Below are 16,834 nucleotides of genomic sequence, written 5' to 3'. Positions count from 1 at the left end.
ACACGGGGCGGAGGGCGGGGCGCCGGGTCCGGAGGGAGCCACGCCCACCACAACAACGCGTCTGCGCATGCCCGGGCGCTGGGTTCAGGGGCTTTCCGCCGCTCTGGGTTCACAGCTGGACGTCGGGAGTGCTAGTTTGGAGTACGCCATTTGAGAGTAGGCGTGAGAAGTTGCTCTGTGTGCTGAGCGTTCTAAAGGAAGGCGTCCGTTGGCCTTCGTACCCGTCTTGAGTGAGGTGACGAGTGTTTTCTAGTACTGGGGTCGGCCGCGCAGCCCTCTCAGGGGTGGGTGGCAGGAAGAGTGCCGGGTCCCGCGTGGTGCAAAAGGTGGGTTCAGGTTTGCGGCCACACAGCGCTACTCAGGACTTTTTAGTCTTGTTTATTTTCTCCGTGCCTGTTCCCGCCCCCCGCAGCTCCACCTCTGGGAGAGGGGCGGGTTCAGCTCCAGGAGGCGGGGACTTCCCGGCTTGGCGTGGCTGGGGTGTCCCGTGGACCCCAGTCTCGGCGCGGTGACCCACTTATGGGACTTGGCCTTTCTTTGTTGTTTGTTTAAGGCAGGGTTTCTCAGCCTGGGCACTACTGAGGTTTTGGGCCGGCTAATTCTGTCTGGGTTGGGGAGGGTGCTGTCCCGTGCTTCGCAGGTTGTGTAGCTGCATCCCCCGCCTCTACCCAGTGGATGCAAGTAGCAGCCCCAGTGAACCAAAAATGCCCCCAGACTTTGCCAAATATCCCCTCCCGGGGAAGATCGCCTCGCTTGAGAACCACTGTTGGAGGAGAGCCTGGGTTTTCGGGAGGTAACCGTTTACAAAGGGGAGAACGGTAAGAAGCCGGAAGCAACGATGACTTAGCTACGTGAAAGACTTGCGGCCGGGCTCGCCCCTCTTCTAGAAGCCGTCAGTTTGGGTCTCGCGTCTGGAATCACCGTCAAGGAGTCAGATCCAGCCCCGGAGAGGGAGCAGGGTCGAGGTCTCCTTGCAGAAGGCGCCACCGCAGGAAGCACAGGCGCAACGTGCGGTCTCCCTAGCGGAGGCGCTCGCGATCCTGCAGCCGCCGGTCCGGGAGGTGCTCGGTAGCCCTCCTTGGTGCCTGTCCGGTAGCTGGTCACTCTCGGGGGAAGGTCGTGTGCAGAAGGGCACATGCGATCACACAGAGACGGCGTTGCTGCGGCTTTGACCCGATGGTGCACCCGAAAGAACACAGAGGGTGAAGGGAGAGATCCAGGAAGTGGTCGCGGAGCAGAACCCCCCTTCACTTCAGTTAAAAAGGTGGGTCAATTGTCGTTAAGAGATACGCACAGGTTCATCTGATTGACATGTACGGCGGCAGTATATGAGTGGGATGGGAACCAAGGTGACTGTTGTTTCCTTTGATGGATGAAACTTTCATCCCTTTGGGTTTTTTTGTTTGTTTTTGGCGGTGCATTAGCCGATTAGTAGATAAAACTGCATGACAATCTATAGCCTGTTTTTAAATGGACACGTTCTTACCACTCAGGAGGTTTATCGTGATTGTTTAATGTCTCAGGGTGGAGGAATCTAGTGCAGGCAGTTCTTAATGAAACCTTTTAAATTCCCGTTAGTGACTTAACATTAGTTTACCAGCTCTGAGCAGCTTTAAACAAACATCCTCTTTTAATAGCTAATGAGTGCGGGAGAAAAGATACTAACTCCTTTCTCTTTGCGTTTTTTGCCCCTACCCTTTTTTCTCTTTTCTGGCCTTAACATGATTGTCAAATATTTATAAATATGAGTGAGCATCTTTATATTACTCTTACTAATAAGATACATGCTTAATTTGTCATTCTTTACCTTTTTGGGACTTAATGAATGTTTGTCTTTTGTAGATAAAATGGAGCTGCTAGAAATAGCAAAAGCCAGCCACCCATATTAACCCCTCCATTTTCCCTATAATTAATGGCTTTCATTATTGTGGTATATTTGTTACAATTACTGGACTAATATGATACATTATTATTAACTGACATCCACATTTTATTCAGATTTCTTTAGTTTTTTGCCTAATGTCTTTTTCTGTTCCAGGATCCCCTCCAGAATACCACATTACAGTTAATTGTTATGTCTCCTTAGTCTCCCCTTGGCTGTGTCAGTTTCACATACTTTCTTTGTTTTTGATGATATAGATGTGAAGAGTACTAGCCAGGAATATTATAGGTATTGGGTTTTTTAAATGTATGTGTCATTTCATGATTAAAAATCAGTTGCGGCCAGGTGTGGTGGCTCAGCACTTTGGGAGGCTAAGGTGGGAGGATTGCTTGAGGCCAGGAGTTCAAGACCAGCCTGGCCAATGTGGCAAAATCCCATCTCTGCTAAAAATACAAAAAATATAGCTGGGCACGGTGGCACACACCTGTAATCCCAACTACTCGGGAGGCTGAAGCACAAGGATTGTTTGAACCTGGGAGGTGGAGGTTGTAGTGAGCCAAGATTGTGCCACTGCATTCTAGTCTAGGCAACAGGTGAGACTCTGTCTCAAAAAAAAAAAAACAAGTGTGGATTACAGTATCTGTTGGGCCTACTATCGTAAAACACATACACATGCATGTGCACACACAAACCTCCAGGCTATCACTTCAGTGCCAGCCAGCAGCATTTCTTACTCTAACCACTGCAACTGTGTCCCTGCTTCATCTTGGGGCTTCATTCTCATATATTTTCTTCACACAGCAGCCACAGAGAAGCTTTTACAATGTAAACCAGAGTCTATTACTTCTGTTCTCCAACTACTTCAGTGGCTAAATTGGTACCAGTAGAGTGGGGTGCTGCCGTAGATACTCAAAAATGGGTATGTGACTTTGGAACTGGGTAACAGGCAGGGTTTGGAACAGTTTGGAGGGCTCAGAAGAAGACAGGCAAATGTGGGAAAGTTTGGAACTTCCTAGAGACTTGTTGAATGGCTTTGCCCAAAATGCTGATAGCACTGTGGACAATAAAGTCCATAGGCTGAGGTGGTCTCAGACGGAAATGAGGAACTTGTTGGGAACTGGAGCAAAGGGGACTCTTGTTATGTTTTAGCAAAGATACTGGCGGCATTTTGCCCCTGCACGAGATATTTGTAGAACTTTGAACTTCAGAGAGATGATTTAGAGTATCTGGCAGGAGAAATTTCTAAGCAGCAAAGCATTCAAGAGGTGACTTGGGTGCTGTTAAAGACATTCAGTTTTATAAGGGAAGCAGAGCATAAAAGTTCGGAAAATTTGCAGCCTGACAATGTGATAGAAAAGAAAAATTCCCATTTTCTGAGGAGAAATTCAAGCTGGCTGCAGAAATTTGCATGAGTAACAGGAGCCAAATGCTAATTCCCAAGACAATGGGGAAAATGTCTCCAGGGCATGTCAGAGGTCTTTATGGCAACCCCTCCCATCACAGGTCCAGAGATATCAGGAAAAAATGGTTTTGTTGGCCAGGCCCGGGGTCCTCATGCTGTGTGCAGCCTAGGGACTTGGTGCCCTGCATCCCAGCCACTCCCAACCATGACTGACAGGAGGCAAGGTAGAGCTTGGGCTGTAGCTTCGGGGAGTGCAAGCCCCAAGCCTTGACAGCTTCCATGTGGTGTTGAGACTGCGAGTGCACAGAAGTCAAGAACTGGGGTTTGGAAACCTTCGCCTAGATTAAAGAGGATGTGCGGAAATGCCTGGATGCCCAGGCAGAAGTTTGCTGCAGGGGCAGGGCCCTCATGGAGATCCTCTGCCAGGGCAGTGCAGAAGGGAAATGTGGGGTCAGAGACCCCACACACAGTCCCTACTGGGGCACCACCTAGTGGAGCTGTGAGAAGAGGTCCTCCAGACCCCAGAATGGTAGATCCACCGACAGCTTGCACCGTGTACCTGGAAAAGTTGCAGACACTCAATGCCAGCCCATGAAAGCAGCTGAGAGGGAGGCTGTACCCTGCAAAGGTACAGGGGCAGAGCTGCCCAAGACCATGGGAACCCACCCCTTCCATCTGCGTGACCTGGATGTGAGATGTGGAGTCAAGAGGAGATCATTTTGGAGCTTTAAGATTTGACTGCCCCACTGGATTTTGGACTCTCATGGGCCTGTAGCCTCTTTGTTTTGACCAATTTATCCCATTTGGAATGGCTGTATTTACCCAATGCCTGTACCCCCATTGTATCTAGGAAGTAATTAACTTGCTTTGGATTTTATAGGCTCATAGATGGAAAGGACTTGCCTTGTCTCAGATGAGACATTAGACTGTGGACTTTTGAGTTAATGCTGAAATCATTTAAGACTTTGAGGGACTGTTGGGATGGTGTGATTGGTTTTGAAATGTGAGGACATGAAATTTGGGAGGGGCCATGGGTGGAATGATAGGGTTTGGTTGTGTCCCCACCCAAATCTCATCCTGAATTCCCATGCGTTGTGGGAGGGACCCAGTGGGAGGTAACTGAATCATGGGGACAGGTCTTACCCGTGCTGTTCTCGTGATAGTGATAAGTCTAACAGGATCTGATGGCTCTATAAGGGGGAGTTTCTCTGCACAAGCTGTCTTTGTCTTTGCCTGCCATCCACGTAAGACGTGACTTGCTCCTCATTGCCTTTCGCCATGATTGTGAGGCCTCCCCAGCCATGTGGAACTGTAAGTCCATTAAACCTCTCTTTCTTTTGTAAATTGCCTAGTCTGGGGTTTGTGAACAGACTAATACAATGGCTTTTCACCTTGCAGAATAAAATCCTACGAGATCCTCATGCTCTAGCTCCTGGCCAGGCCACCTCCTCAGGAGTTAGATCACTTATCCGTCTCTCCCTGGCCCACCCTTCTCTGTCACATGGCTTCTTTGCTGACCGTGATACACACCACACTTGTCTTCTCTACCTGGAAGTTGTATTCCCCATACCCACATGGCTCACTTCTTCACTTCATTCAAGTCTCTGCTCAGATATTAACCTCTTCAGAGAGCCCTTCCTTCACACACTGTCTTGCATAGCAGCCTCTCCTACAAGTTGTCTTCTTTCTCCTTAACTTTTGTGATGGTTAATTTTAGGTGTCAGCTTGACTGGATTAAAGAATACCTAGAGAACTGGAAAGGCATTATTTGTTAGTGTGTCTGTGAGGGTATTTCCAGAAGAGATTGATATATGACTGAATGGGCTAAGAGGGAACCATCCGCCCTCAACGTGCAGTTGGCTTGGAACAAAAACGGAAGAAAGGCAAATTGGTCTTACTCTCTTGGAGCTGGAATACACGCTTCCATTCCTGCCCTTGGATTTCAGGATCCCAGGCTGTTGGGTCTCAGGACGCCAGGACCTACACCAGCCTTTCCGTCACCGCTGGGGTTCTAAGGCCTTTGGGCTAAGAATTATATCATCAGCTTTCCTGATTCTGAGACTTTGGGACTTGGACTGAGCCATGCTACCAGTATCCCTGGGTCTCCAGCTTGCAGACAATCTGTTGTGGGACTTCTCAGCCTCTGTAATCATGTGAGCCCTTTCTAACTCATAAACCCTCTCTTATATATCTATGTATCGATTGGCTGTGTCTCTCTGGGGAACCCTGACTACGTATACTTTTGTTTGAATTCAAAGTATTTATCCCTACCTGATATTACATCCTATATCTGTTTGTTTTCTGTTTTTTCCATTAGAATACAAGTTTCATGGGGACAGGGACTTTATGCATTTGTTTACTGCTGTATCTTAGGCTCAAAGTTGGCACTCAATAAATATTGGTTAAATAAGTGAATTACAAGCAGGTTGGATTATTAGGTAATATGGTTCGCAGTGTGGGACTCCTGAACTCCAAGATGTCTTTGAAAGTAGCCATTTTTTTTTAATTTCTAATGGTTTAGTCAGACTACGGATTACTTAATAACAGGGACTATAGTTCATTCATGGATATATCCCCAGAATCAGGAACAGTTTCTAGAATACGCTTGAGTGCTCAATAGACATAGCTATTATAGTTAATTGAAATGGAATTGGCAATGTGGGAAATAAGAAATCACATTTTTGGCCAGGCACAGTGGCTCACACCTGTAATCCCAGCACTTTGGAAGGCCGAGGCAGGAGGATCACTTGAGGTCAGGAGTTCGGGACCATCCTGGCCAACATGGTGAAACCCCATTTCTACTAAAAATACAAAAAGTAGCTAGGTGTGGTGGCGTGTGCCTGTGATCCCAGCTACACGGGAGGCAGAGGTGGGAGAATCGCTTGAACATGGTAGAGGTTGCAGTGAGCCAAAATCATAACACTGCACTCCAGGTTGGGCAACAGAGCAAGACTCCATCTCAAAAAAAAAAAAAAAAATCTGCTGGGCGCGGTGGCTCATGCCTGTAATCCCAGCACTTTGGGAGGCTGAGGCAGGTGGATCACGAGGTCAGGAGATTGAGACCATCCTGGCTAACATGGTGAAACCCCGTCTCTACTAAAAATACAAAAAAGTTAGCCGGGCGTAGTGGCGGGCGCCTGTAGTCCCAGCTACTCCGGAGGCTGAGGCAGGAGAATGGCGTGAACCCGGGAGGCGGAGCTTGCAGTGAGCCGAGATCGCGCCACTGCACTCCAGCCTGGGTAACAGAGCGAGACTCCGTCTCAAAAAAAAAAAAAAAAAAAAAAATTAGCTGGGCATCTTGGCGGACGCCTGTAGTCCCAGCTACTCGGGAGATTGAGGCAGGAGAATGGCGTGAACCTGGGAGGCGGAGGTTTCAGTGAGCCGAGATTGCACCACTGCACTCCATCCTGGGTGACAGAGCAAGACTCTGTCTCAAAAAAAAAAAAAAAAAAAAATCACATTTTTCTCAGAGCAAAGTCTTTGTGATACTAAATCTGGATAAACGCAGTGGAACACTGAGGACGTTTATGCATAAGGACAGTAATCACGAAATTATCTTTGTATACATTGTCCATTAATGACTACTGCTATTTACTGAATTGAGCTCCCTCAGATTCATCTTTTGAAGCCCTAACCCCTAAAGTGACTATATTTGGAAATAGGTGCTTTAAAGAAATAATAGTTAAGGTCAAATGAGGTTATGAGGGTGGAGCCCTAATCTAATAGGACTGGTGTCCTTATAAGAAGAGGAAGAGGCCGGGTGCGGTGGCTCACGCCTGTAATCCTAGCACTTTGGGAGGCCGAGGCAGGCAGATGACAAGGTCAGGAGTTCGAGACCAGCCTGGCCAATATGGTGAAACCCTGTCTCTACTAAAAATACAAAAATTAGCCAGGCATGATGGTGGGCACCTGTAGTCCCAGCTACTTGGGAGGCTGAGGCAGGAGAATTGCTTGAACCTGGGAGGCAGAGGTTGCAGTGAGCCGAGATCCATCGGGCCACTGCACTCCAGCCTGGGCGATAGAGCGAGACTCTGTCTCAAAAAAAAAAAAAAAAAAAAAAAAAAAAGGAAGATGACACCAGAAGTGTAAAAGCAGAAGACAGGCTCTATGAGGACACAGGGAGGAGGCAGCCATCTGCAAGACAGGGAGAGAGGTCTCACCAGAAACCAACCTTGCCGGCACCTTGAACTTCCAGCCTCCAGAACTATAAGGAAATAAATTTCTGTTGTTTAAGTCTGAGTGGCTAAACAACAGTTTAAGCTGCTGTTATGGTAGCCCAAGCAGACTAATACAACGCTTAAGGATTTCAGTCACTGAGTGGAACCACCTTAGAATGTGAAAGACAATGAGGATATACACACAGCCTCCTTCCCCTGTGTTTGGAGGGTGGCTTCAAATTCCTTCTGTTTTATGTGCTGTGTAGGAAAAAAAAAATCTGTAAAATTATGTGAGTTTGTAATTGATAGATTGGTTCTCTTTTGTGCAAATAGTGCTTATAGTTTAAAAGTCCTAGAAAAATTAATTCACAGTCACATTTTCTGTATGCAACTACATTTATGTAAGTGAAAACTTGGTAGTTTGTTAGCTTGTTCATTTTTATTTTTCAAGTATTATGTAAACAAAAAGAACCTTGGTCTGCCAGAATTTTCAAAGAAAATTGGCAAAACAAGATTTCCCATAGTAACAACCATACATATAGCTATGTTCAGTGACTAAATGGTGTTTATGTGTTTCTTAAGCAATGGAGTTCATTTTGACCAATTGTCTGTTAAGAAGTGCCTAAGAAAACCGCTTATTCATTTTCCACATCCTGTTTGGCAAAGTGTGACACATAGCAGTAGAAAACAATAATATAATCTTGGGATGCATATGCAATCAGTGCACAGAGAGCTGTCGTATCAGCCTTCAGAAGAGCATTTAAACACTGCCACACGCTGTCCGTCTGTTTGTCCTGCAACCAGGTTCTCCCCTTGGTCTCAATGGAAGCCTGAATCACAAGCACTGCCACGTTCACAAAGCTGTTAATTCTTCAAAACACCAAATGGTATTCAAAAAGGGAAGTATAGGCTGGGCACGGTGGCTCACACCTGTAATCCCAGCACTTTGGGAGGCCGAGGCAGGCTGATCATGAGGCCAAGAGATCCTGGTGAAACTATCCTAGCCAACATGGTGAAACCCTGTCAAGTAAAAATGCAAAAATTAGCTGGGTGTGGTAGTGCGCACTTGTAATTCCAGCTACTCGGGAGGCTGAGGCAGGAGAATTGCTTGAACCTGGGAGGCGGAGGTTGCAGTGAGCCGAGATTGCGGCACTGCACTCCAGCCTGGTGACAGAGTGAGACTCCGTTTCAAAAAAAAAAAGTATAAAAATCTGAAGACTCTAGTGGTATAATCTAATTAAGTTTCTATGAAGCACATGATTGCAGTCATGTCAAAGCAGTTTCTATGAGCACACTGTTATCTGTTAAAAAAGCAAACAAGGCTGGGCACAGTGGCTCAGGCCTGTGGTTCCAGCACTTTGGGAGGCCGAGGCGGGCAGATCACTTGAGGTCAGGAGTTTGAGATCAGCCTGGCCAACATGGTGAAACCCCATCTTTACTAAAAATACAAAAAATTAGCCAGATGTGGTGGGTGCCTGTAATCCCAGCTACTTTGGAGGCTGAGGCAGGAGATTTGCTTGAACCCAGGAGGTAGAGGTTGCAGTGAGCCAAGATGGTGCCATTGCACTCTAGCCTGGGTGACAGAGTAAGACTACATCTCAAAAAAAAAAAAAAAAAAAAAAAAACAAGGAATAATAATAAATTAACCTTAGCTTACTGGATGACCACCATCATATATGCAGTCTGTTGTTTACCAAGATGTTGTTATGTGGTACATGGCTGTATTTTATTGTTGTATTCTACAGTGCATAATAAATGGTGAGATTCTCCTCAAAGAGTGGCAGAGAAAGGATTCAACTCCATTTTCTCTGACTCCAGTGCCTGCGCGAACATTGGAGACTTTGCTGTCATGAGCGTTTCTCACGTACAAATGCAGGCAACAGTGAGAGGAAGTTGTCTTGTTTTTGAACAGGCCTTGTTTTTCTTGGATGCTTTTGCTTAAAATCCAACAGCCAAATGAGGAAACTGTAAAAGCAAAACAAACATTTTTATTGCAGATGAACCCACATACTGATTTTGGCTTGATCTCTTGAAACAGCCTAAATGTCTCATTACAAAGACCTTAGAAATTCTTTCATAAAATCTGAATTGGAAGAGATCTTGGATATATAGGTTTTATTTCATCTAACGTTTTACATGGATTGTTGATAAATGGCCATCTGGCTTTTATTTGAATGCCTCCAAAGACAGAGGACTCACTACTGCCATATGAAGTAGCTCATTCCATTTGGCAGACAGTTGAGATTGTTAGAAATTTATACTGCACCTCCCCTGGGCCTAGTTAAATTCTTTGGAGAAGTGTAGAGAAAAAGTATTTTTCTTCTACATGCCAGTTTTTTTTTTGGTTTTGTTTGGTTGGTTGTTTGTTTTGTTTGAGATGGAGTTTCGCTCTTGTCTCAGGCTGGAGTGCAGTGATGCAATCTCAGCTCACTGCAACCTCTGCCTCCCGGGTTCAAGCAATTCTGCCTCAACCACCGGAGTAGCTGGGATTACAGGCACCCGCCACCATGCCCAGCTAATGTTTGTATTTTTTAGTAGAGACGGGGTTTCACCTTGTTGGTCAGGCTGGTATCAAACTCCCAAACTCAGGTGATCCACCCGCCTCGACCTCCAAAACTGCTGGGATTACAGGCGTGAGTCACTGCGCCCGGCCTACATGCCGGTCTTTCAAGTGTTCGAAGAGCCTTCTTAGGTCTCCTCTGGCCTTCTCTTCTGCAAGCTGTGCATGCGCTGAGTTCTGAAGTGGTGCCACACCACAGCCTACCATACAACGTCACTGCATGTGGCATAAACTGGGACCACAGAACTCTGAAACCGGAAATCAGGGTAGCTAACACTTGTTTGCTAACATTTCACATACATTATCTCCTTTAAACCCTAACAACACAGTGAGACAGTTACTGTTATCTCCATGTCAGATGACGAGACTGAAGCTACAAGATCACAGAGCTGGCAGTGGTAGAACCCAGATCTGTCTGACTCCAGAGCACAAACTCTTAGAACATGGGATTTGATCTCATTTTATAGAGGAAGAAACTGAGCCCCAGAGAAGCGACCTGCCCAAGGGCACCAGCCTGCCAGTGGGTGAACTAGGACTAGAATTCAGATCTGCCTCCCAGAACACTGGCCCTCACCGAGGCTAGGGGAGTCTGTTGGCAGGCTGCTGATGTGTTTTCCTAGTTTACTTTTTTTTTTCTTTTTTTTAATATATATATTTTTTGAGACAGAGTCTCCTCACTCTGTTGCCCAGGCTGGAGTGTAGTGGCAAGATCTCAGCTCACTGCAACCTCCCCCCAGGGGTTCAAGTAATTCTGCCTCAGCTTCCCAAGTAGCTGGGATTACAGGTATGCACCACCACACCCAGCTAATGTTTTTGTATGATTTGGTTTTGTTTTGTTTTATTTTGAGATGGAGTCTCCCTCTGTCCCCCAGGCTGGAGTGCAGTGGCACGATCTCGGCTCACTGCAACCACTGCCTCCCCAGTTCAAGCCATTTTCCTGCCTCAGCCTCCTGAATAGCTGGGACTACTGGTGTGCACCACCACGCCTGGCTAATGTTTGTGTTTTTAGTAGAGACAGGGTTTCACCATGTTGGCCAAGCTGTTCTTGAACTCCTGACCTCAAGTGATCTGCCCACCTCAGCCTCCCAAAGTGTTGGGATTACAGGTGTGAGCCACGGCGCCCGGCCTGTTTTCCTACTTTAAAAGCTGGCTCTCCTTGTGTTGTTGAACAAGCGTTTGTTGGGCCCTTACTGTGTCTCTAGAACATTTATTTGAAATCAGAAGTAGGGGTGATACCACTGTGACAAGAGTAGATTTTTAAAACTTCGCGTAAAACAGCAAGAGGGACTCAACACATTTTGTTATGTTTTTGTACCAAAACAGTAGTGTTTATCTTTCTTGGCAATAAAATCATTTTAAAAAATAAACTGCAAATACTCATTCAGAAGCCAATGGATGATCTTCAGCACATTGCAGTTATTTCAGAACTCGGCCTACATGCTTAATTCGATCACTCTGCTTCACTCTCAAACTTTCATTGTAGGCATTGCTTCCCCACTCAAACCTTTGGGAATTTCCCATTTGCCTGAAGGATGAAATTGAAGTGGCTCTAGCCACCTTTCAGCCTTTTCACACACTGCCGAGCCAGGTTGCTCATGCTGCTTCTGTTCTTGCAGATGCTCCCCACCTGCCCCCCTCCTCTTGCTTGGAATGCCTTGCACTTCCTGCTGCTTAGCCAAATCCAACACAACTCCATGCTCCATTGTCCCCGACCTCCCTATGACCTCTCCCTCCTCTCATTCCAGCAGCTACTGCCAGGATTGCTTGTTTCGTATTTTACATTATTTGTATTTATTTATTTTTTGAGACAGAGTCTCACTCTGTCGCCCAGGCTGGAGTGCAGTGGCGCGATCTCAGCTCACTGTAACCTCCGCCTCCCGGGTTCAAGTGATTTTTCTGCCTCAGGCCCCTGAGTAGCTGGGATTATAGTCACGCACCACCACACCTGGCTAATTTTTTATATTTTTGGTAGAGACGTGGTTTCACCATATTGGCCAGGCTGGTCTTGAACTCCTGACTTGAAGTGATCTGTCGGCCTCAGCCTCCCAAAGTGCTGGAATTACAGGCGACCAGCCAGAATTAGTTTAAGAAGTGCATGTCAGTGAGCCCTTGTGTTTTGCAAAGCATGAAATAAAATCCATGGTTTATTAAACTGAAATAAAGAAGGGAACTGTCTATTCTTTTAATGAAAGCAGAAGACACGTGAAAGATTGTGTTATAAACTGAAGTTTTGGCCGGGCATGGTGGCTCACGCCTGTAATCCCAACATTTTGGGAGGCTGATGTGGGCAGATCACCTGAGGTCAGGAGTTCGAGGCCAGCCTGGCCAACGTGGTGAAACCCTGTCTCTACTAAAACTCCAAAAATTAGCCGTGGTGGCAGGTGCCTGTAGTCCCAGCTACTTGGGAGGTTGAGGCAGGAGAATCACTTGAACCTGGGAGGCAGAGGTTGAAGTGAGCCGAGATCACACCATTACACTCTAGCCTGAGCTATAGAGCAAGACTCTGTCTCAAAAAAATAAATAATAAACTGAATTTTTGTAAATAAGTATCTGGTGAGGACCACTGTAAACTGCAGGAGGATAGGAGATTAGCATATCTGGCTCCTTGAGACCCATAACTATATTTTATTTAGAATTATCTCTCTGGTACTTCACATCGTGTCACAAATTAGGTAATACACGTAGTGGAATGAATTAGCAAATGATGAGTGCATTTTCATAAACCTTCGGAGGATGAGATGGGTGCCCTTGGGGGGTGGTGAGTGCTCCCTCCCAGAAGTGCCAGGCGTGGTCTGGCCAACCAGCGAGGCAGTGGCTGAGCTGGCTTTAATGTCTTTCCAATCCTGGCAGTCAGTTCTATGAAATTCAATGAGTATTTAAAATGTCTTGTTGGATGGTTTGCAAAAAAAAAAAAAATCACCCCTGGATTTATCAGCTTAGCAAGTTTGCATCCTTGCCTCTTTAATGGATATTTGGCTTTCAACTGCAAGCTGAGAATGGTACACTGCCGAATAAATGGTCCTACTCAACTGCGAGAAAACAAGTCAGAAGATTTCTGGGGGTGGGGTGGGGGTGGAATAACTTTTCTCTAGTAACTGTAACCAACGCATATGTGGGGTGTCTTTGGAGCCAAAAGACATCACATTTCTTCTTTTCTATGCATTAGTTCTGTCATTTTGGGCAAGTTACTTAATCTCTCTAGGCCTCCATTTCATCATCTTCAAGACTGAGATACTTACTTTTTTTTTCTCTTTTGAGACATAGCCTTGCTCTGTCACCCAGGCTGGAGTGCAGTGGCGCAATCTCATCTCACTGCAATCTCCATCTCCCGGGCTCAAGCCATTCTCCTGCCTCAGCTTCCCAAGTAGCTGGGATTACAGGCATCCACCACCACGCCTGTCTAATTTTTTTTTGTATTTTTAGTAGAGACAGGGTTGCACCACGTTGACCAGGCTGGTTTCAAACTCCTGATCTCAAGTGATTTGCCCACCTCGGGCTCCCAAAGTGCTGGGATTATAGGCATGAGCCACCGCACCTGGGCGACATACTTACTTTTATGCAGGGCTGTTGTGAGGATAAAATCAGGTAATGTGGAAAAGCACCTAGCACAAAATCAGAAACTGTAGGCTTGCAATATGATAGCTCTTATGCTCACACATTCCCTTGTGGTTGGCTAAATCCCTAGTAATAAACTTTCACATTCATGTGGCGGTTTGCATTTTACAGAATGTTGTTACAGACATTATTACCTCACTTGATCTTTAAAATAACCCAGTGAAGTAGCACAAAGATTACTACTCTTATGTTACCAGTGAGAGAGGTCAAGGAACTTGCCTACATAATACATACATTAATATATAATACATTACATAATACATGACATTACAGAATGATGGCCAACATCGGGTTTCCTCATTCCAAATTCACACTCGTTCTAGTTTACCTGTTGCTGCAATGGCTACTGATGGGGTTCGTCAGATTTCCTTAATTTATCCAGCAAATATTTTTTTTCAGAGACAGGATCTCACTCTGTCACCCAGGCTGGAGTGCAGTGGCATGATCATGGTTCTCTGCAGCCTTGGCCTCCTGGGCTCAAGAGATCCTCCCGTCTCAGTAATCCCCAAAGTGCTGGGATTACAAGTGTGAGCCACTGCACCTGACCTATCCAGCAAATATTTATTGCAACTCAAGTGACTGAGCTGGAGATTTCTCCTGTTTGTGCTGTCCTTGGTTGATTAGCATAGTACTTGGTATAGAATAGTTATTCGATAAATACCTGAGGAATGAATGAATAGATTAAACCAATTTTCCGAGTCTTTTCGATAGAGTACCTTGATTCTGCTAAATAGGCAAGAACACTTGCAGGGGATAAAGAGAGATTGGCTGTTGGGAGAAGCCAAGAGCTGACAGCTGCAGAGAGAAGCTGATGAAGTCAGTTACACGCAACAACACGGATGATTCTCAGAATAATCATGCTGAGCAAAAGAAGCCAGACCAAGGGCAGTACGTGCTGCATGATTCCCTTTGTGTAACATTACAGAGGGCTGGGCACAGTGGCTCATGCCTATAATCCCAGCACTTTGAGAGGCCAAGGCAGGAGGATTGCTTGAACCCATGAGTTCGAGACCAGCCTAGGTAATACGGTGAAACCCCATCTCTACAAAAAAATACAAAAATTAGCCTGCCATGGTGGCCTACACCTGTGGTCCTAGCTACTCAGGAGGCTGAGGGGGGAGGATCTCCTGAGCCTGGGGAGGTTGAGGCTACAGTGAGCCATGATGGTGCCACTGCATTACGGTGTGGGTGGCGGAGTGAGACCCTGTCTCAAACAAAAAAATTACAGAAAATGCAAACCTTAGTGACAGAAAGTAGTTCAGTGGTTGCCTTTGGGTGGGACCAGGTGGGTAGGGAGGGAGGAATTTCAAAGGAGCAGGAGGAAGTGTGTGGAAGTGATGGGTGTGCTCCTTGTCTTGATGGTGGTGATGGTCTCTTCAGTGTATAAATACGTTAAAATGTATCAAATTATATACTTTTGTGATACCCTAACTTGTATTAACTTGATTGACTCTCTCTTAGCTAAGAAAGCCGGAGGGATTCCATTCGGCTCCTTCATTTGCAAGACGTTAAGGGCTCCTTACCCACCCCCTTCCTCAAGGACTTAACTTGTGCAAGCTGACTCCCAGCACATCAAAGAGTGCAATTAGCTGATAAGGTACTGTGGCAAGCTGTGTCCGCAGTTCCCAGGAATTTGCCCGGGTGATAGTACTCTAGTGCCCCTGCGTTTGTGTCCGGCAGATAGCACCCAGAGCCCCCGCACCTGTCACCTTGTGATGGCTTTAAAGCTCCTGCACCTGGAACTGTTTGTTTTCCTGTAACCATTTGTCTTTTTAACTTTTTTGCCTGTTTTACTTCTGTAAGATTGCTTCAGCTCAATTCCCGCTCCCCTTTCTAAACCAAGGTATAAAAGAAAATCTAGCCCCTTCTTTGGGGCCGAGAGAATTTTGAGCACTAGTCGTCTCTAGGTCGCCGGCTAATAAAGGACTCCTGAATTAGGCTCAAAGTGTGGTGTTTCTCTGTAACTCACTTGGTTACAACACTTTAAATATGTACAATTGTTTTGTTTTGTTTTTGAGGCAAAGTCTCGCTCTGTCACCCAGGCTGGAGTGCAGTGGCATGATCTCAGATCACTGCAAACTTCGCTTCCCAGGTTCAAGTGATTCTCCTGCCTCAGCCTCCTGAGTAACTGGGATTACAGGCATGTGCCACCACACCCAGCTAACTTTTGTATTTTTAGTAGAGATGGGGTTTCGACACGTTGGCCAGGCTGGTCTCGAACTCCTGGCCTCAGGTGATCGCCCCACCTCAGCCTCCCAAAGTGCTGGGATCACAGGCGTGAGCCACCGTGCCCAGCCAGTTGTAAGATCTTGATAAGTCATGTCTCCACTCTTAGCATCTGTCAAAAAAGGGGTTGGACTCCAAGGCTTGAGGTTTCTTCCAGCTTTTGCATTGTGGGGTTCTGTCACCCGCATGTCAGACTATTTGGCTACGCTGAGGACTGCAGATAGGGGGAGGGGAAGTGTGGCCAGTGAAAGCTGTCTCATCCCTGACTCTGAATGAATTTGAGGTATCAGGGAAATGGTGACCTTTACCACCTCCCCGCCACCCTCCCCCACACACATGCATATCATGGATTTGTTTCTCCTCTAGTTCCTCCTGCAATGCTCCTTACTCCATTTTTGTTTTTGTTTTACTCATAAACAGCAAGTCAACATATATACTCAGGTATGTTTTTAAGTTCATGCACTCAAAATCTATCACGTTAATAGGTGAAAAATCTTACCTTCCAGAAAACTTGGTCATCAAAATATTTAGCCTCATGAGGTGCTTTCCATATTTTAAGATTTAGGAGCAAACCTGTTTAAATGCATAATTTAATGTTAAAAGATTTGGAGCACAGGATTTTTAATCTCAAGATTAATCGAAATATTGTGTGTCAAAACGACAGTATCTCAACAGAAATCCTTTTTCTCCCACAATTGAAAGACAAATAAATGGAAGCCCTGTCATTCCTGGACCAGCTTAATTCTGTAGCCTATTTTATTTTATTTTATTTTATTTTATTTTATTTATTTTGAGACAGAGTCTCACTCTATCGCCCAGGCTGGAGTACAATGGCGTGATCTCGGCTCACTGCAGCCTCTGCCTCCCAGGTTCAAGCGATTATCCTGCCTCAGCCTCCCAAGTAGCTGAGATTATAGGCGCCTGCCACCACATCCAGCTAATTTTTTTTTTTTTTTTTTTTTTAGTAGAGATGGAGTTTCACCATGTTGGCC

The 16,834-nt window shown here is 45.9% G+C and overlaps 2 protein-coding genes across 16 annotated transcripts in view, besides 7 other annotated features; one reads left to right on the top strand and one right to left on the bottom strand.

Annotated features, from left to right (window-relative positions):
- Positions 1-9,278: part of a meiotic recombination region, noted in NCBI's record as "downstream Rhesus box that can recombine with the homologous upstream Rhesus box", that runs on past the window's edge. NCBI's record gives the evidence for it as "EXISTENCE:nucleotide sequencing assay evidence [ECO:0000219][PMID:10845894, PMID:15752150]".
- Positions 21-140: a silencer, noted in NCBI's record as "silent region_453". NCBI's record gives its function as "represses an Ori minimal core promoter by ATAC-STARR-seq in GM12878 lymphoblastoid cells {active_cell/tissue: GM12878}" and the evidence as "EXISTENCE:reporter gene assay evidence [ECO:0000049][PMID:35858748]".
- Positions 50-16,834, top strand: part of RSRP1 (arginine and serine rich protein 1) — a 96,006-nt gene continuing 79,221 nt past the window's right edge. For 7 of the 8 annotated variants that reach the window (NR_135787.2, NR_135789.2, NR_135792.1 and 4 more), the window contains exon 1: positions 50-1,264. The gene's annotated coding sequence lies outside the window, so the exon portion shown is untranslated. The remainder of the gene's footprint in view (positions 1,265-16,834) is intronic. The other variant, NR_135788.2, reaches the window with a different exon arrangement.
- Positions 1,132-1,426: a silencer, noted in NCBI's record as "tiled region #4019; K562 Repressive DNase matched - State 1:Tss". NCBI's record gives its function as "represses a minimal TATA promoter and a strong SV40 promoter by Sharpr-MPRA in K562 cells {active_cell/tissue: K562}" and the evidence as "EXISTENCE:reporter gene assay evidence [ECO:0000049][PMID:27701403]".
- Positions 1,930-3,393: a sequence comparison, noted in NCBI's record as "sequence_comparison; region almost identical to the corresponding region of the upstream Rhesus box". NCBI's record gives the evidence for it as "EXISTENCE:sequence similarity evidence [ECO:0000044][PMID:10845894, PMID:15752150]".
- Positions 2,492-3,393: a chromosome breakpoint, noted in NCBI's record as "breakpoint region for unequal crossing-over between the upstream and downstream Rhesus boxes to result in a single-hybrid Rhesus box with a deletion of the RHD gene". NCBI's record gives the evidence for it as "EXISTENCE:nucleotide sequencing assay evidence [ECO:0000219][PMID:10845894, PMID:15752150]".
- Positions 3,016-3,546: an enhancer, noted in NCBI's record as "H3K4me1 hESC enhancer chr1:25661249-25661779 (GRCh37/hg19 assembly coordinates)". NCBI's record gives its function as "activates a minimal SCP1, AML or CMV promoter by ChIP-STARR-seq in naive H9 embryonic stem cells {active_cell/tissue: H9 hESC(naive)}" and the evidence as "EXISTENCE:reporter gene assay evidence [ECO:0000049][PMID:30033119]".
- The window catches only part of RHD (Rh blood group D antigen), a 57,960-nt gene continuing 48,984 nt past the window's right edge, over positions 7,859-16,834 (bottom strand). For 6 of the 8 annotated variants that reach the window (NM_001282872.1, NM_001282870.1, NM_001282868.1 and 3 more), the window contains 1 exon segment: positions 7,859-9,406. Coding sequence is in view for 7 of the 8 variants with exons in the window: in NM_001282870.1 (NP_001269799.1) it covers positions 9,168-9,406 (239 nt within the window). In the remaining variant the exon portion in view is untranslated. 8 annotated transcript variants of the gene reach the window in all.
- Positions 14,921-15,649: an enhancer, noted in NCBI's record as "NANOG-H3K4me1 hESC enhancer chr1:25649146-25649874 (GRCh37/hg19 assembly coordinates)". NCBI's record gives its function as "activates a minimal SCP1, AML or CMV promoter by ChIP-STARR-seq in naive H9 embryonic stem cells {active_cell/tissue: H9 hESC(naive)}" and the evidence as "EXISTENCE:reporter gene assay evidence [ECO:0000049][PMID:30033119]".

The sequence above is a fragment of the Homo sapiens genome, chromosome 1, assembly GCF_000001405.40.
Source record: "Homo sapiens chromosome 1, GRCh38.p14 Primary Assembly".
NCBI lineage: Eukaryota > Metazoa > Chordata > Mammalia > Primates > Hominidae > Homo > Homo sapiens.
The sequence above is the reverse complement of the archived record's forward strand: the minus strand, read 5'-3'. Positions and strand labels throughout refer to the sequence as shown.